The sequence below is a fragment of the Homo sapiens genome, chromosome 13, assembly GCF_000001405.40.
Source record: "Homo sapiens chromosome 13, GRCh38.p14 Primary Assembly".
Classification (NCBI taxonomy): domain Eukaryota; kingdom Metazoa; phylum Chordata; class Mammalia; order Primates; family Hominidae; genus Homo; species Homo sapiens.
Genome location: NC_000013.11, coordinates 101,560,610 through 101,577,127, shown reverse-complemented (window position 1 = coordinate 101,577,127; position 16,518 = coordinate 101,560,610). Strand labels below are relative to the sequence as shown.

The window sequence follows — 16,518 nt, the reverse complement described above, 5'->3', positions numbered from 1 at the left end:
AGCCTCAAACAAATGGAAATAACAACTAGAAAGTTTGAAAGTTAAACATTTTCTGTTGTGTTGTTTCAAGTTACATTTTTCTATTGATACATGCAAATAGACTCTGCTTTTGTGGTGTTTATCAACACACACTGGCCCCAAAGCATGTTCCCGTCTTCTTCTTTTTTTTTTTTTCCATCTATAATAATTGGAAACTAAACATCAAGAGGACAAACACATATATTTGTGGATGGATTTGTCTAATTGATCTAATTATTTTGGACTGAGCCCTTTAAGAAAGAATTGTCTGAGCAGCATCTTGCTTAGGTCATTGGCTCGGAAAAATGAAAATAAGGTTTTTGTGTTTGTTTGTTTTATCCAGGTAGTTTGTACAGCCAGGAGATCAAGGAGGGAGGGCCAATCAGGCCTAAAATAAGTGTATTTGGATGACTCACAGGAATTGAAGCTACCGAAATGTAAACAAAAGAACAAGCTTGTCCTATGCTAGCCACAGTTTCTCAGGGTTCTCTGGTTCCACGTGGCCCCATTGGGCCCTAGTCCTTCCAGAAAAACAATACTTCTAAAACTACCATTTCTGCACGCAGGGCAGTCTTCCTTCAACTGGAATCCCATGAGATAGGAGTGAAATATAAGTTCAGAGCAGAGAAAAATTTACCTAAACCAAATGATTCTCTCTGCTTTCTACTTTTCTTTTCCTACACCAGTCAAGGTTGCAAATGGGAACTCTGGGCACAGGCTTGCAGGTTGAGCAGAAGAGATGAAAACTGCAAGTGGTGAGGAGAGACTCCTCTTGTGGAGCTCTGAGCTCTAAGGCACTGATGCAGTCGTGAGTGGTGAGGCATCAGGAACATAGACTTTGGCATCACACAGACACGAGCCCAAATTCTACTATTATTGGTGGACTGACCCTGGGTTCGTTACCTAATTTATCCACGTCCCAGGTTCCACATCTATCTATGTAGATAAACATAATTCTTAGCCTAGAGTGATGTTGTGAGACAAAACATAATGAATGTAAAGCACTTATTGCAGAATTTGTCACTAGCAAACATGCAAGAACTGCTACAACAGAAAAATGAATTGAGTAATGGTGGTACACAGAAAAGGTCATTGAAAATGTTATTTAAGTGTTTAGGGACAGAGAGGGGGAGGTAAACTCTAGGCTAATAACCCTATTGACCTTCATTGTCCCTGATAGGACATGAGACTCATGTTTTAGAAAGGGAAAAACAAAGAAATGAAAATGTACACTTAAGAGAGTAGGAGAAAGGAAAATAAAAGTGACTAAGGTGAGCAGAGGAGATGGTATTCTACTAGGACTACTTCAGAGCTATGCAGTTGGCCTGTTGCCATAATGACACAGCTCTCCTCTGGGGACAATTTGGCTTTGCATCTAAAAAGTACTAGTCTACTCTTAATGCCATAGTCTCACTCTCCTTATGTGAAATGTTTTCCAGATAAACATAGGTTTAAACTACATTAGCACACCTAGAGCAGAAACTTATGTAGAGATAAAAGAACAATGAAATAGGTGAAAAAAACAGGTACTTTTATTAATTTCTACAGAGCCAATATACATACCTCCACATATTTCTTCTGTTTCATCGTCTATGCATTCTCTATCGTCACACTCACAAAATTTACCATACACAAGTCCACTTCCATCTGAATTATCACACTTACACCTGCCACAGTGACATGTACCTAAACCATGAAAACAAAAAAGACTGTTTGTTACATGCACATAAAATTATAATTAATGAATTTTTATACCATCTCTCTCAAGAGAGTAGATAATCCAAATCAATTTAATATTTCAATTAGATATTTCTGTGGGCATGGTGAGGTAAAGCACATGCTACTCTTTCTTGAGGTTATTTTAGCATGGCAATTATATTTTAGATCACACAACTATTATTATTGACCTCTAATGGTTTAATGAATGTAAATTTGACCTCTCCAAGTGCAGAGCTACTCCACATATAGCCATCCAACCAATGCATGAATGTCTTCTGATTACACCTGGGTCTGAAGTGAAATAAAGCAGCAAATTCTAAGCTTTGTGAGGGAAGCAACCTTGCTTATCTTCCTCACCAGTATTTATTCAATGTTTTGCACTATGTTTGAACATACTATTTATATAATAAATATTTGTGGAAATAATTTATTATCAAATGCATAAATAAAAATCATATGTGCCCCTGATAATTTCTCCTCCTCAGCATTAACTTATACTGATACACATGTCCTTACAATAATGGGACAAGAGTGGATTTCCTTAGGCATGGATTGCTGGTAACTCACCAGATTCTCAGGGGACCTCCACGTTAGAGAGGCATGGTAGTCATCTGGTCTACCACGAGCCATATACTCATCCAAGTCTGAAGATTCTACCACATCCCCCAAATGTAATTTCACCAACATTAATATTGCACTCAAACAATTTTGAGAGGTAGAATGCCCACTTGAGAAATTTCCTTGTTAATTTATCTATTTTGAGTTTTAATGCTCATCACAGCCATCACCATGTATCAACTGAGACTTGATCTCTCACAAGAAACCACCCTGGACTCTGAAAATCCAACGGGAATCAAGTCAGCCATAACCCTCCTCTCAGAGTTTTATATGAGCAAAAACCAATGTGATAAAATAAATACAGAAGTGCAAAGTGTTGCAGAAGCACATAGCAAGGGGATTTAACTGAGACCAGTAGGTCAAAGTCAGAGTCCCTGAGGAAGTAGCTGAGAACTAAAAGCCAAGAGAAAAAGCATAGCTAAGAGAAGTGAGATGGTGAAGAGGCTTACTTCCAGCATGAGACAATAGCACAGGCTCTGCAATAAAAGGGGAAGTGAAGGAAAAACACCACATGAGAACAGCATGAAAAGTGGCATGAAATGAATAAAGCAACCTGAGGTGCAGTTCATGGAAGTCTTATAGGTCATGTTAAAGATTTCCAGCTTTAATCCAAAAATAATTGGAAGACATAGAAGCAAGGGAGTCCTGTGATCATGTATGAATTTTTACCAGATTACTCTGGTTGTCATGTAACAAAAACTAGATGAAGCAATAGCATAAGAGTGAATGAACTGAAATGAGGCAAAAGTGGATGCAAAGAAATGAGTTAAAAGGCTGTTATATTTGTCTGCAGGAAAGAAGACAGTGGCTAGACACATGATGCGATGAGTTTAGAATGGAACAAATACATCTGGGGATATTTTTAGGAGAAAGAGTAGAGGGCATTTGGTGACTGAGTGTAAAGGGTGAAGGATGGGAAGGAACCAAGGAAGCTGTTGCTAATTTGGTTTGAATTACTAGATATTAGCAAATCTATATGTGATCTATTAGAAAGAGAATGAACTTGTGAGTAAGGTAGAGCTGTAGCTGAATTCCGAGTTTTAATCCTCATGAGCTATGCATTTTTAAAGGCATTGCTTTCATTTCTAATTCCCAGATTCCATATCTGCAAATAATCTCTGCTTCATAGAACTGCTGCCAATACCAAGTGATGAATATGTACCCAGTCATGTTTCTAGAAGCACTGCTGCACCTAGTACATAGTAGGATTTGAGAAAATTTGGGTTCTTCCTCTTCTCCCATTAAGATATAGAGTATATTCATCATATTTACAAACATTTTCTCCAGAAAATATATTTATGGATGCTGACAATATCCTTGTTTTCATATCCTCTGCATGATTCTGTTACCCAGATCACTTGCAAGTCACTATTATCTATAAATTTTTCACTCACAGTTACATATAAATGGTGATTTTGCAGAATTTATTTTTCTATCTTGCAAATACTCATGTGAATTTTCCTGTCATTAAACTTCATTTTATTGCATTTTTCCCTAAAAGCTAACTCAATTCATAAAAGTAATTTGAAATCTAATGCTATAATTTATGCTATTGCTTCATCTAGTTTTTGTTCTCTAATTATCACCCTTCTTTTTCATTTTCACATTTATTCATCCTGTCTCTCAACCACCCACATATCCAGCCATTAAGCTTTCTTGTTATCTGTTATGTTGTTTGCAAGGAACTAAGTGCTATAGAAAATAATGAGATGCTTAAAATTAAGTAAATCATAGACCAGGAAGAGATACCCTATTAATACATTTTGTATAGCATTTGCCACAAGTCTATTGCAAAAGCCTTTGTGTCATATGTTTTCTTGTTTTATAACTACAAATATAAACCTATACAAATATTATACATGTAACCATATATAATATGGGCCTCTCATATATAATATGAGAGCAGGAAGTCACTTGGTTAGGACTGTGTATGAGGAAGTTTTTTCAGGAAAGATGGGAAGGAACAGCCTCTGCCTCCAAATTCTATGACTCCTCACTGAAGTCCCCCATAGGCAGCTCCCTCTCATCCACACATCGGAAACATTCCCGGCTGATGTGGGAAGTTTACAACAGCTCAGAGACTTCCTGTCTCACCCATAAAGCAGAATTCACAACGGAGCCTCCAAGACATGGCATATGGACGCCCAGGCAAAAGCTCCAGACTCCTGTGCTCATGCTATGACACACACAGCTTCTCTCTCGTGGTTGCCAGTTAACTCAGCCTCTAGGACTGGTCTTCTGCCTTACACTTGATGATTTTTAGCTCTCATTTTTCATAGTGCCCAATAGAACTGACTCTCTCTAGGATGACTGACCAGACATGTACACCAGCCCACACTCCTGTACAGTGGTGCCGGGGCCTCACCCTGCTCTGCACACTGGACCTCCCTTCTACTTTTCCCACAAAGTTAGCCTCTGGAACACTTTGATCCCCAGCTCTGCCTCATTCTGCCCTTCAGTCTCATTCCCCAATCCATTTAACTCCTCTTCCCCTTCTGCTCCAAACTACTTCAGAAAACCACACTGTGATATGAAAGGGAAGGATTAATAGAGAGACTTCATAGGCTAATGCAATTTGGGGGAAATGGTCCTGAACTCGGAGGGTGGAAGTGGGTATTAAAAGAAAGACAGGTGAGAATGAGACTGCCAAAGTAAACATGAAAGGCTTAGATATTTCTACAAGAGTAAATGAGACAGAAAAGATTAAATGTAACACTGAATATAAATGTATCTTTTGGCCAATTGCATTTCTGGTAATTTGCCTTGAATACACACCTCCAAAAATATAAAAATATATGTGCACTAGATCATTCTGTGCACTATTATTTACAATCCAAAATACTGACTACTGTCTAAATGCTCAAGCATAAGAGCTTGATTGAATAAATTACATTGCATACATAGAATCCAGTCCTGTGCTTTTGAAAAAATAAAGAGAAGGATTTCTATGAACTGATTTGGAGTGAATTCCAGGAGATTATGTTGAGTCGTAAAAGCAGAGTGCAAAAGAACACATGGAATGAAAGCACAACCATTTGCACAGGAAAAAAATGAGAAATAATAACACACAAATATGTCTATTTATCTTTACACAAAAAGAAATACATGCACAGAGAAGGAAGAGAGCAATAAAGTTGGTTATCTATAAGGTGAGGGTAAGCAGGGTGCAAGGTTTGAGGAAGAGAGGGATGATTCTCTGAGTATACTTTTCTGCATAGTTATGACTTTTAGAAGCATGTTAGTGTACTATACATTATAAAATATATTAATACAGATGGGAAGGAATTATAAAACCTAAAATTGAAAGTGATCTGAAATAAATAAGCTAAATTGTATTTCAAATGAGTACCATAACCACACTAAAAGAGAAGAAAATAAAATAAGTCTGAGTGACTTATGAACACGTCATTCGACTACATACCCCAATCTTGGGCATGATTGAGGTACAGTGAGTGGGGGGAAGTGGAGAGGGGTGGACTGCAAATCCTAATCTCTTTTGGTACATTTGCTTGGTTTAGTGGTGTGTCTGCAGCACTTCTAGAAGTAACTAGAGATGTAGTATAGGATTGAGCAAATAAGTAAATATGTTGGTGGTATTGGGAGCCAGGGTTCTCCCTGTGAAAATGGGACATGCAAATATGGAATGGAGAAAACAAGAAGTAATCCTGTGAGGTTGGACTGGAATTAGATGCACTGGTGTAAATTCATGATTTCTAAAATATGCATGTATGTGTATGTGTACATGCATATCTGTGTGCAAGTATGTGTATATGTATTTGTGTGTATATGCACAGGCATATATTTACTAGTGTCAAGATAAATTAAAATGGAGACAAGGCCTAAAGAACCCCTGAGCAGACTAAGCCAGTTAGGCCTCATAAATGATCCTAACCTTGCCTGACAGGCAAAAATAAGTGAAACTTAGCTTAAGTTATTTCTTATAAATGTCTACATTAAAGAAGAACAGAACTTAAGTTTAACCAATCAGAAGCAACCAACAAACTTATAATTATATAACTAGGGACTTTCCAACAGGATAGACTAAATAAGGCAACCATATAACATTAGCCAACCAACTATTTTTCTTTGCTTTCTTTTTCTGTTCACCCTATAAAAGCCTCCCACTTGCATTCCCTCAATGAAGCACCTGAATCACTTCTGATTTGGAGCTGCCTGATTCATGAATCATTGTTTGCTCAGATAAAATAAAAATTGTATTATGCTTCAATCTACTTTTTTGACACAAGCCTATTTGCAGAAAGGGCCAAGAAGCAAATACCCTCCAGTGGAAATAAGTATCCCTGTGCCCACAATTTTTATTCAAATACCATTTTCACTAAAAGGAATCAGGGCTGTTTGGATAAGTGGATGATTCCAAAGGTGCAGTGAAGCAGGTCCAATATGACCCTGGAATATGTTATTATGCCAACAAGTAAAGAATTGCAAAAACAAAACAAAAAACAAAAACAAAAGGCAGGCATGTCACAAAAACACAAAAGCTAGCCTGATGGGCTTTAATACCTAATCTGGAAAACTCTGTGCACCAGAATAATTATGTACAAAATGAATAACAAATCAATGAAATAATAAGAATTGTGCTTCTAGACTGATAATAAGTCACTAAGTAAATGAAATAACAAATAACTGATAAATGAGAGAGGAGGATTCCTGTTTGTGGTGGAATACTGAGTGCCAACTAGTCAATTCAGAGAGAATGTTACAGTTCATAAATCATCATTTTCCAGTCATCATTGTCAATACTGTGTCAGGTGATTGTCATCAGCGGATGTTAAATCTGGGGTAATTTTAGTGAGGAATGTGATACATGTATGGCTTTAAAGTATTTCCTCATAGAATGCACATTTGTGAAGAGGGTAAGTCAGAAATAACACAGTTAAGACACCAGCCAACACCTTGACCAGCTCATCAAAACTGACATCACCAATATGAGCAGATGGACATCATGTGCTTCCAGATGAAACATTTTGAGAACACAAAACCATTTCTCTAGTGTTTTACCTAAGAATATGTATTATGAATCTAATCATGGCGGGGGAGACATCAGACAAATCCAAGATAAGTACACTTTTCTTTTAATAAAATGGGGACAACTTTCTTCACAAGTTTCAATGCTCTAAAGCCAAAGTCTGTGGAAATGACCCAGATTAAAGAAGACTAAAGAGAGATATAAACATAACATTTTCAATAGTCTGAATCCTGTAAGGAGAGGAAAACGCTATACAGGACATTACTGGGTCCCTTGACTAAAGCAGGTTATGAACAAAGGTATTGCATCCATGCTTAAAAAATGAGAGAGTACAGATGTCCTAGAAATGCGTTTACATTGTATCAAATATGTTTTATCATCTACTGAAACACTTCTGTATGTTTTCTCCTTTAAGATATGTTAATGTGGTGAATTACATGTTTAGATTCCTTAATATTAAACATCTTTAGAATCCTAGACTACCACATTTGATTATAATGTTCTCTAAAAAAAAACCCTAAATTTGATTTGCAAACAATAAATAAATAAATCCCAAAATAGATTTCAAACCCAAAACAGAATTCAAGTCTTGTTACTGAAACAAGTTTGAAAAGAATAATTTTTTCAAGATGAAAGACGCTATGGGGCATGCGCGCGCGTGCGCGTGTGTGTGTGTGTATGGAGGGGTGGGTGTTATGAATTGGAAGTAGAGAAGTGTGTGTGTGTGTGTGTGTGTGTGTGTGTGTGTGTGTGTGTGTGTTTGGAGGGGTGGGTGTTATGAATTGGACGTAGAGAAATCCTACTAAGAAGAAAGAAAGACTGAAGTGCTAGAGAAATATGATGAGAACATCATGAACACAGAAAGGGACCTAACTGCTAAGACCATTTGTCATGACCCCTGACGGATCCACTCACACCTCGCTTTGGATATGGTCTGATTCCTATCAGCAAAACACCTTTAACTGAGCTCAGTCTAAAACACACAATCTGTTGCAATCAGACTGTGGGGAATTCTCAGCTCTGGTTAGAGATGGGCCCTACCAACAATGTGAGCTTCAGGAAGAAAGGTACTCATTCGTGAAGTCAAATCCTCACCTTTAGCATTTAGAGCAATGGGTCACACACTCATCTATATTAAAATCACCCAGAGAGCTTTAAAAAAACCACCAACGTCAAGGCCACACACCAAAGCACTTGAAACAGAACCTCTGGTGTACTACATGAGAACTGACAGTTTATTCCTTTCTCCTTGGGATGCTGATGTTCAACCACGGTTGAGAAAATCTGATTTTGAGGCTTCACCTGCCCAAATGTAAAAAGAATATTTAATTACGGTAACACTCGCTAAATACCATTGAAACCTAAACTGCAACTCTTTTATATGATTTTGCTAATAAATTTTAACAGCATTGCTACAATTTTGTAAAAAATATTTTCAAATAACTTCTATGAAATAAAAAATATTTTGATCAAACAAAAAATCTTTCTGTGACTGTATCCTTCAAAGAGCTTTATAACCAGTATATCTGAAACTTCTATCAAATTTAAAGTATTTGGTTCTATTTTGCGAAGGTAAAAATTCAAAGCACCCGTGATCTGTAACAGAAAATAATTAAGTCAGTTTATATAAATCCTTTTTAACAGATGTAATCCGGTATTCAATATCATGGCTCACAATTTACATAAAATGTGGTTGGGGTGTTGTTTCCAGTGAATATCCTGCTAGAAGGAGGCATTTGGAACAGCTGGAAAGCATCAAACTTGCCAGTCTCAGCAAGATGGCATTTTTTTTCTATTGATTTATCTGAATTTCACTTCTAAAAAACATACTCAAAAGCAGACTCACTCTGAGATTCAACATTTCTCCACGCCCACATATTTCCATTAAAAACAAAATTTGATTATTCCACTTAACAATTTTCACAGGGTATACTTCTTACCTGCATTAGAGCAGATGATGTCTTGTGAATTCTTGCACATTTGGTTACTTTTCTTCTTTGTCAAGTCACAGTTAGTTGGGTACTGGCAAGCATCCCCATACCATCCCTGGTCACACTTGCACTTGCCACAGTCACACTTACCATGGCCTGGGGATTGAACAACATCTAGTCAGACTCAAATTGTTTTCCAAAGATAACCACTACTGTAACACATACTCTTAACAGTGACATTGATTTGGGACTGAGCTATAATAAATTGAAACTCATGTATATCGCAGTGGCTGAGGGGTAATGCTATTATATAAAATGCAATGGAATATGAAAATTTTATTTCAATAGTCAACCGATAAATTATAAAAACATTAATTTATAAAGACATTAGGATAATACATTAAAAAGCCTAATAAATCACAGGGTCAGAAAATTCAGCACTGAAAAACCATTCTATCCAGCATCTCAGTATTTAAGAGACAAAAGTCCAACGAAAAAATACTTCTAGTTTACTGTATTTTACATAACACATTAAACCACAAACCATGAATAAAGACTCTTACATGAAACTCTACTAAACTAAACACTGGCCTTACTGTTAACTCGAATTAAGCATGTAATGAAATTTATGGATATATTAAATACCAACTTCAGTAATATGGACATAAAATACGTATATATTTTGTTTCATATTCATCTGCCTCCACATAAATTTCTCAATCTTTAATGTTCTCAATAGTCATTTTGCTTTAATGCATGTTGTTTTCATTGTTGTGATCAGTAATGTTATTAAGTCCTGCTTGATGAAGCCTACTAATGTTTTTATTGATTGCACATTAGTCTGACAGAAGTGCAAAACATGTGCAGTACTTGGTCCTTGTCCTCAAAGAATGTACAAACTTCAAAGTCAAGGCTAATATACAAAGAAGCTGATGTGATTGTCAGCCAGAAGTGATTGTCACCTTGAGTTAAGCTGAGCGATAAAGTCTATGACCTATAGACGTAACAGCAGAGACTTTCTGGACTTCCTTGACTGTTAACTGGCCCTTGAAAGTTGAGCAGATTTTGAATGGGTTACAGGAAGAGTGTACATATATTACTCAAGACAATACTACTATGTCTAAATGCCTAAAATTCATAGGCCACATGAAGTCATTGATCTGATTCAACATGGTAGCTGAAATCCAAGGGATAAGGTCCAGATGGTTGGTCAGTATGAATGGCTTGGAGGCTGCCCATTTGGGCATGTTTGGCAGAGCCTGAATCTGTGATTGGCTGTGACTTTAAAACTGCTCTTTATGTGGACCAGTCCATGTAAATGTTCCTATTTCTGTTGCATTTATAAAATTAATTATTCTATTTTATAACCAAAACCTTGCAAGTATTTTATTAGGAATTCATTCTATTCAGCACACATTACTCCCTCAAATTGACTGCATCATTTTGCATTCCTGCCTGGCCCTACAAAATATTGTCAGTCTTGCCCAACTTGGTATCATTTTTAAGCATAAGTGATCTCACCTGTCAACCACCTAGCCTATTTATAAAAGCATTAAGCCAAATTCTTGCAGTGGTTAAGGCTCTTTGATAAATCAACTATCTTGGAAACTGTGTTGACTCTTTAATAACATTAATGTATTTGGTTGAACCATATGGAATTGCCACTTTCATAAGTTGAATATCAGCTGTTTCTTATGGTTCCACACCAATAAACAGTAAAGAAAATAGAAATGATTTAGAAGATAAAGCATTATGGTAGCAGTAATTTGGTGAATCAGGAATAAAAGACTACTCAATGTGATTTTTTAAATTTTATATTAAATAGGACATCTTAGATCCTAAAGTATACACAGTAGAGATGGGAAATAATTTGTGGGTCAAAGGAACATCTTTTTAAAGGTGAGATGGTTAAAAATAGAAAGAAAGGGGGAAAATAAACAAAATGTATACAGGATAGGGAGAGATCCATCCCTTCCAAATTGACCCAATGACGCATCAATAGAAGCAATATTCTAAGTTGCTTATCCCCTGAAGTGGGTTCATGGAGGCTCAGTTTCATGAAACTCTCTTCACAGAAGATTCTAGGGTAAAATAAACATGGAAAAGAGTCTGCTGTCTTCTGTTCTAATGTGTCACGATATATATCAGCACACTAATGAGCCTCATATATCCTATCATGAAAAATATTTTTAATTTTTTTAGCTTAGAATTTGCAAAACTTTGGCTACGAGGCCCCTTTTCTCATAACCTGTATTAGCATCTTAGGCACATGCTTAGACTAACACTGTGTCAGACACTGTAATGTGTTTTCAGCTTCTTCCTTAGCATCTGTTTGGAGGCAAAGATGACAGCTAATGTCAGACAGGGCCATCTGCCTTTACATTCTTTCTAAGCTTTATGCCCAGTAAGGGTTCCATGATTCATTTTCTTCCATTTAGGAAAACTCATTGAATAGGAATTGATTTCTGACTGTCAAGAATTATCAAATAGCCTGTGTAACCTTGTTTAAAGATAAATATATATTTACAAAATAGTATTCAGACTATTGTTTACAATTTTTTCTAAGGTTAGTAAGAGCTTTAGCAGACCTCGGGGGATTAGGTTGCTATATTATTGTGGCAAGGTAATCTCCATTACAGTGTCAATAACATGGCTTCAAAAAACACCTCATTTTTCAAAATAATTTATTTGTTATGTGTTAGTTTCCTGAATCTTCCATAACAAAGCACCACAAACTTGGTGGCTTAAAAAAACAGAAATTTATTCTCTCACAGTGATGAAGACTGGAACCTGAAATCGGGTTGGTTAGTTCTGGAGGACCTGAGGGAGAAACTGTTCCATGCCTCTCTCTCAGTTGCTGGTGGTTGCAGGTAATCTTGGGCATTTCTTGGCTTGTGGCAGTGTAACTCTGCTCTGATGATACTGCATATCCTTTCATATGCTTATTTGCAATACATCTATCTTCTTTTTTTAAATTTTATTATTATTATACTTTAAGTTTTAGGGACATCTATCTTCTTTTGCCCATTTTTGTATTGAAATTGCAGAGTCATTTTTTATATATGACTATATAACATATATAATTACATATACATATATGTACATATACACATACATATATACCTGTGTTTCTATATATATGTTTTAAAATTTATACATACATGTATATGTATGTTTATCCTGGATACAAGTTCATTGTCATATATATGTATATATAAAAACATATATATATATCAACATATACACATATATACATGCATATCCAGGATACATATATATGTACATAAATTGTTATATATTGTTATATATACATATATGTACGGATATATATGTATATAAATTGTTGTATATACATATATATGTACGTATCTCCTGGATAGAAGTTCATTGTCACAAATGTAATTTGCAAATATTCTCTCCCAATTTGTGACTTGCCTTTTGTTCTATTAACAGTATCTTTTGAAGAGTAAAAGGTTTTGATCTTAATTAAATCCAATTTATCAAGTTTTTTCTTTAATAGTGGTTTTTGTGGTATCTACTTGAAAAACCTTTGCCTAACTCTAGGCTTATTCTTCTGCTACAACCACAGTCTTGATTACCCTAATTTATAGTAAGTATGGAAATCAAGTATTCTGAGAACTCCAACTTTGTTCTTTTTAAAAAATTATTTCAGCTCTTGTAGTTCCTTTGATTTTCTATATAAAGTCTAGAATCAGTATGTTGACATCAGCAAAAAAGCTTGCACAGATTTTGATAGGGATTGCATTGAATCTATAGATAAAAGTAGAGAGAATTGCCATCTTAACAATATTTAGTCTGTGACTACAGTGAAATACATTGGTTGATTTTTTAATGTTGTACCAGCCTTGCATCTTGAGATATACCTCATTTGGTTGGTAATAAGTATTATATTTTTATATATTTCTTTATATATTGGATTCCATTTGCTAATATTCTATTAAAGATTTGGTGTTCTATGTTTATAAATCATACTGGCATGCAGTTTTGTTTGTTGTAAGGTCTTTGTCTACTTTTAGGATAAGGAAAATTTTGCCCTAGTGAAATGATTTGAAATGTATTCTCTAATCTCCTAGTTTTTGGAAGAGGTAGTATAGAATCAGCATTATTTTATCCTTAAGGGTTTGGTAGAATTTGCTAGTAAAATCATTGGAGCCTAGAATATTCATTTTTACAAATGTTTAACTATGATTCACTTTGCTTGACCAATATTGGCTATTCAAGTCATCTATTTCTTTTTAATTGATTTTTGGCAGATTGTGTCTTTCAAGGACTTGGCCCATTTCATTTAAATTCCTGAACTTAACAGGCATAGACTTGCTTATATCATAAGCTTACTATCTTTTTAACATGCATAGTGTTGGATATTATGTATGTTATTTCATGCTGATGCTGGTAATATTTGTATGTCCTGTATGTTTCTTGATCAGTCTGCTTAAAAATAAATCAATTTTATTGTTATTTTCAAATAATCAGCTTTTGGTTTTATTGATTTTCTTTATTGTTTTTCTCTTTTCAATTTCACTATTTTTTTCTCTAATCTTTATTATTTTCTTCCTTCTCCTGTTTTTGGATTTAATTAGGTCTTTTTTTTCTATTTTCTAGGGTAGAAGTATAAATTAATTTTAAACACTTCTTCTGTTCTAATATAAACATTTAATTCTGTAAATTTTTCTCTAAGTACTATGTTAGCTGCAATCCACAAATTTTTGATATGTTATATTTTATTTTCATTCAGTTAAATATTTTTATTTATAAATTATTTTATTTTCATTCATTAAAATATTTTTAATATCCTTTGAGATTTCCTATTAACCTATGGGTTATGTAGAAGTGTGTTGTTCAAATTTTTTTCAGATCTATTTCTGTAATTTCTAGTTTAATCACATTATTATATGATAATACAGTTTCTTTTAAATTTCTGAAGGCTTCTATTATGACCCAGAAGATGATCTATCTTGTTCAATTTTCCTTGTGCATTTTAAAATAATGTATCTTCTGCTGTTCTATAAATGTCAATTTGGTCAAGCTGGTAATATAGTTTTGTTCAGGTTTGCTATATCCTCACTAATTTTCTATCTACTTGTTCTGTCGACTATGAGAAAGGAGTATTGACATTGACTACAATTGTGGATTTTTTCCCCTTTCAGTCTGTCATTCTTTAAATTTATGTATTTTGAAATGCTTTATGTGTATATATACTTAGCATTTTAAAACTTAGGATATAATTACTTTTTCATTGTGTAATATCTCTCTTTATCCTTGATATTATTTCTTGTCCTAAAGCCTACTTTGTCTATCATCAGTATAGTTGATCCAGTATTCATTTGACGGGTGTTTGCATAGAATACCTTTCCCATTCATTTATATTTAACCTGTCAATGTCTTAAAGTCATTTCTTATAGATTAGTCGTGTCTCAGTTTTTATACAATCTGACAATCTCTATCTTTTAACTGGTGAGTTTAAAGAGATCACATTTAACATGATTTTTTACATTGCTGGATATAAATCTACCAACTTTCTAAGCAATTTTTATTAGCTTTATCAGTTCTTGTTTTTGCCTCTTTTTTCTGCTTTCTGTTTTGTTTATTGAGCATTATTTTTTATTCTATTTCCTCTGCTATTTGTATACTTTGATTTTTAGTGGTTGTCCTAGTGTATACATTATATATCTTTAACCAACCAGAGTTTACATTCAAATAATATTGTACCACTTTATATGTAATTCTAGGAAAGAGTTAAAACTGTAAGAGTTAAAACATTAAATTCCCAGCTCTTTCCTCCCATTCTTTGTGCCATTTTATTTTTGCATAAACACACACACATTTCCTATAGACACACAATCTACTGCCATTAATTTTGTTTTAGACAGTCAGTTATTTTTAGAGCAACTAAAAATAAAACTATAATGCTATTACACTTTAATTTATTCCATTTTCATTGCTCTTCATTTCTTTGTGTAGATTCAAGTTTGTCAAGTATCACATTCCTTTTGTCTAAAGAACTTCCTTTACATTTATTTAGGGTAGGTCTGCTGTAATGAATAGCCTCATAAAAATCCTTAATTGTTTTCATTTCTGGAATATACTTTTTGCTGGATATAGAATTCAATGCTAACATTTATTTCTTTCAGGCTTTCAAAGACGTCTCTCCATTTTCCCCACGCTTGCATGGTTTCTGACAAGAAGTCCCCTGTCATTAGTATCTTTGTTCCTCTGCATATGTTTCTTTTTCTGTAACTGCCTGTAAGAGTTTCTGTTTGTTTTTGTGTTTGGTAATTTGAAAATGATAAGTCCACCTCTTTGTTTTTGTGTGATATGTTTTCTTCGTTATTTATCTATGTTGAGCTTTCATTTATTTATGTTCCTGTTTCCTTCCCATAGCTGCCATGGATACTTACAAGTGCCCTAAGAGCAAGGAGATGTATTACCCTTTCCCCGACAGTGAAAGATTTTGTTTTATAGGGGAAACAGGTACTAAATGTCTGGATAGTTTCATGACCATCCTGGAGGAGCTGCTCCTCTCTTCCTTGAGTTCCCCACTTCCTGGATCTGTTTTCAAAAGCATCTTCCAGTCCTTTCTGTGAGAGCTCAGTAGGATTTATAGATACAAATCTGAAGAGGGTTTGGGCTCTCTCAAATTCTGCAGCACCCGGGGCTTCATGCTCATTCACGAGGGCATACTTGGCCGCTACCAACTTTCCCACCACCCTTCTCAGCACCTAATTATGTCTACCCAGCTAAGCCCGAGCTCATTTCTCTCCCTTCATCTGCCTATCTATCTCCAGATTTGGGGCCAGTTGCTTTTCCTGTGACTTCAGATCTTGGATGAATTCAGAAACACATGGGGATTTTTAATTCGTCCCACTTTTCTTCAGTGTAAGAATGGGAATCACACTTTGTAACTTTCTACATCCCTAAGTGGAAACCAAAATCTTACAGACACTTTGCAAATAAGTTCATCAAGGGTAAAGAATAACTATAGCTCCCATCCCCAAAACCTGTGATGCTACACAGCCCTGCATTTACATGTATATTGGAAATAAACAATTATAGCTCAGAGATTGTAAATACAAAAAAAGGATAATTTGAGTTACTTGTATTTGTCTTCTTAACCACTTGGAATGTTTACTTGTTTTACATTTTAAAACAGCATACAGAGGGATGTAATGCATAACTTTTGAGGTAAGTGCAAATTTTTGTTCATATATAAATTATTTAACTTAA

At 35.0% G+C, this 16,518-nt stretch overlaps 1 protein-coding gene across 4 annotated transcripts in view; it reads right to left on the bottom strand.

Moving 5' to 3' along the window:
• The window catches only part of ITGBL1 (integrin subunit beta like 1), a 268,182-nt gene that overhangs the window by 143,729 nt on the left and 107,935 nt on the right, over positions 1-16,518 (bottom strand). For 3 of the 4 annotated variants that reach the window (NM_001271754.2, NM_004791.3, NM_001271756.2), the window contains 2 exons: positions 9,283-9,429; positions 1,582-1,704 (listed from right to left, as the gene is read on the bottom strand). In NM_001271754.2, coding sequence (NP_001258683.1) covers positions 1,582-1,704; positions 9,283-9,322 — 163 coding nt within the window. In that variant the 5' untranslated portion in view covers positions 9,323-9,429. The remainder of the gene's footprint in view (positions 1-1,581; positions 1,705-9,282; positions 9,430-16,518) is intronic. The other variant, NM_001271755.2, reaches the window with a different exon arrangement.